A 1993-nucleotide genomic window follows, 5' to 3' on the forward strand; every position below is an offset into this window, starting at 1 on the left:
ATTCTCTACTTTTGACAGTTTTCAACTTTTGCTCTCCTAGAACTTGGTAGAGAATTGATTGTATTTTAACGTATCTCCTTATATATGTGTCTTCCTCTATTCATCATTGTAGTCCTAGAATCTAACATAGAACCGTGCATATCAGTAATTAATTTATGTGGAAAGAAGGGAGAAAGGGAGGGATGAAGGGAAGGAGGACATGAAGAAGGGAGGGAAGGAGGAGCAGCAGGAGGAAAAAATAATCCAGTTTACTGTGTGAATCCTTGAATTATCCTTGGAAAGTATTCTCAACTCAGGACAATTTTCAAATTATAGAGCCACAGTGATTATCTGTCTACAGGTCTTCCTCTTCCTTTCCACGTAGCTATTATTCCCTTATCATCTTTTTTCTCATAGCTTTTCTTCTAGTTCCTTTTTTCGTTCAGCCCATATCCTTGCTGATGCATCATCTAAATGACCACAATTTTTGTTTTTATTTTTATTTATTTATTTTTTTGAGACAAGGTCTTGCTCTGTCACCCAGACTGGAGTGCAATGGCACAGTCATGGCTCACTGCAGCCTCCACCTCCCAGGCTCAATCGATCCTCCTGTCTTAGCTTCCAGAGTAGCTGGGACTACAGGCATGTGCCACCACAGCCAGCTAATTTTTCTGGGTATTGTAGACATGAGCTCTCAGTATGTTGCCCCGGCTGGTCTAGAACTCCTGTGCTCAAGCAATCCTCCCACCTCAGCCTCCCAAACTGCTGGGATTACAAGTAGTAATCACGGTGAGCCACTGTGCCTGGCTTAAGATTTTTATTTGATCAAAAGTCAAATAACAATATATTGAACAAATAAATCATAGACACCACGGGAACACCATACTAGCAAGTAAAATTTCAAGATATGCTTCCCTGACTGAAGACTTTCAATAAGGCTTGTCAGACAACCCCTAAACATGTGGTCTAGTAAAAAAAGCTGAGCTGTGGAGTCAAAGAGTCTCAGTTTAGAAAAGCCCTCCATTACTTTCTAGGTCTGTGGCTTTAGATATGTCATCCAGTGTCCATGAGTCTCAGTGTCTCTTTATAAAGTGCTGGTAATATTTCCTACCAATAAGAGATTTTGGAGATTAGGAATGGTACACATCAAACATTTAGCATAATACCTGGCTCTTGGGAGGAAATAAAAAAATATGTAAAATGCAAGACTTTTGGTCAAATGAATATTACAGATATTACAGGTAATAATTGCCTAGTAATTTAGAAGAGAGACATATAATTAGCTACTACCAGTGCCTGAGAATATGCTAAGAACAGTAAATATTAACCAATTGCTTGAACACTAACTATTGAATGTATTCCCAAAACATATGAAATAAGTAATTGCTATGACTTAATAATGATATTTCTGTTGGTCAGATTTTCACATCTGAGTCATCCCACTAGTTGGGGGAGTGTATTAGTCCATTCTCATGCTGCTAATAAAGACATACCCAAGAGTGGTTAATTTATAAAGGAAAGAGGTTTAATTGACTCACAGTTCAGCATGGCTGGGGAGGCCTCAGGAAACTTACAATCATGGGGGAAGAAAAAGCAAACAGGTCCTTCTACACATGGTGGCAGGAAGGAGAAATACTGAGCAAAGGAGGAAAGTCCCCTATAAAACCATCAAATCTTATGAGAACTCACTCACTATCACAAGAACAGCATGAGGGTAACCTCCCCCATGATTAAATTACCTCTCACCAGGTCCCTCCTATAACATGTGGGGATTCTGGGAACTACAATTCAACATGAGATTTGGGTGGGGACACAGCCAAAGCATATCAGGGAGTGACATAAAACATAGCCAACCATGCTATTAAACAAACAAACAAAAAAACTAGTCTGAAGATCTTAGAAAAATGCTACAAACAGTTAAACCTAGCGAACAATAGCAGCAGCAAGTTCTTGGGAAATTCTTTTTTTATGTAGAATAAATTGGGCTATTGTAAAATAGCATAAGTTCTATGAT

This window comes from Homo sapiens, chromosome 12, assembly GCF_000001405.40.
Source record: "Homo sapiens chromosome 12, GRCh38.p14 Primary Assembly".
NCBI lineage: Eukaryota > Metazoa > Chordata > Mammalia > Primates > Hominidae > Homo > Homo sapiens.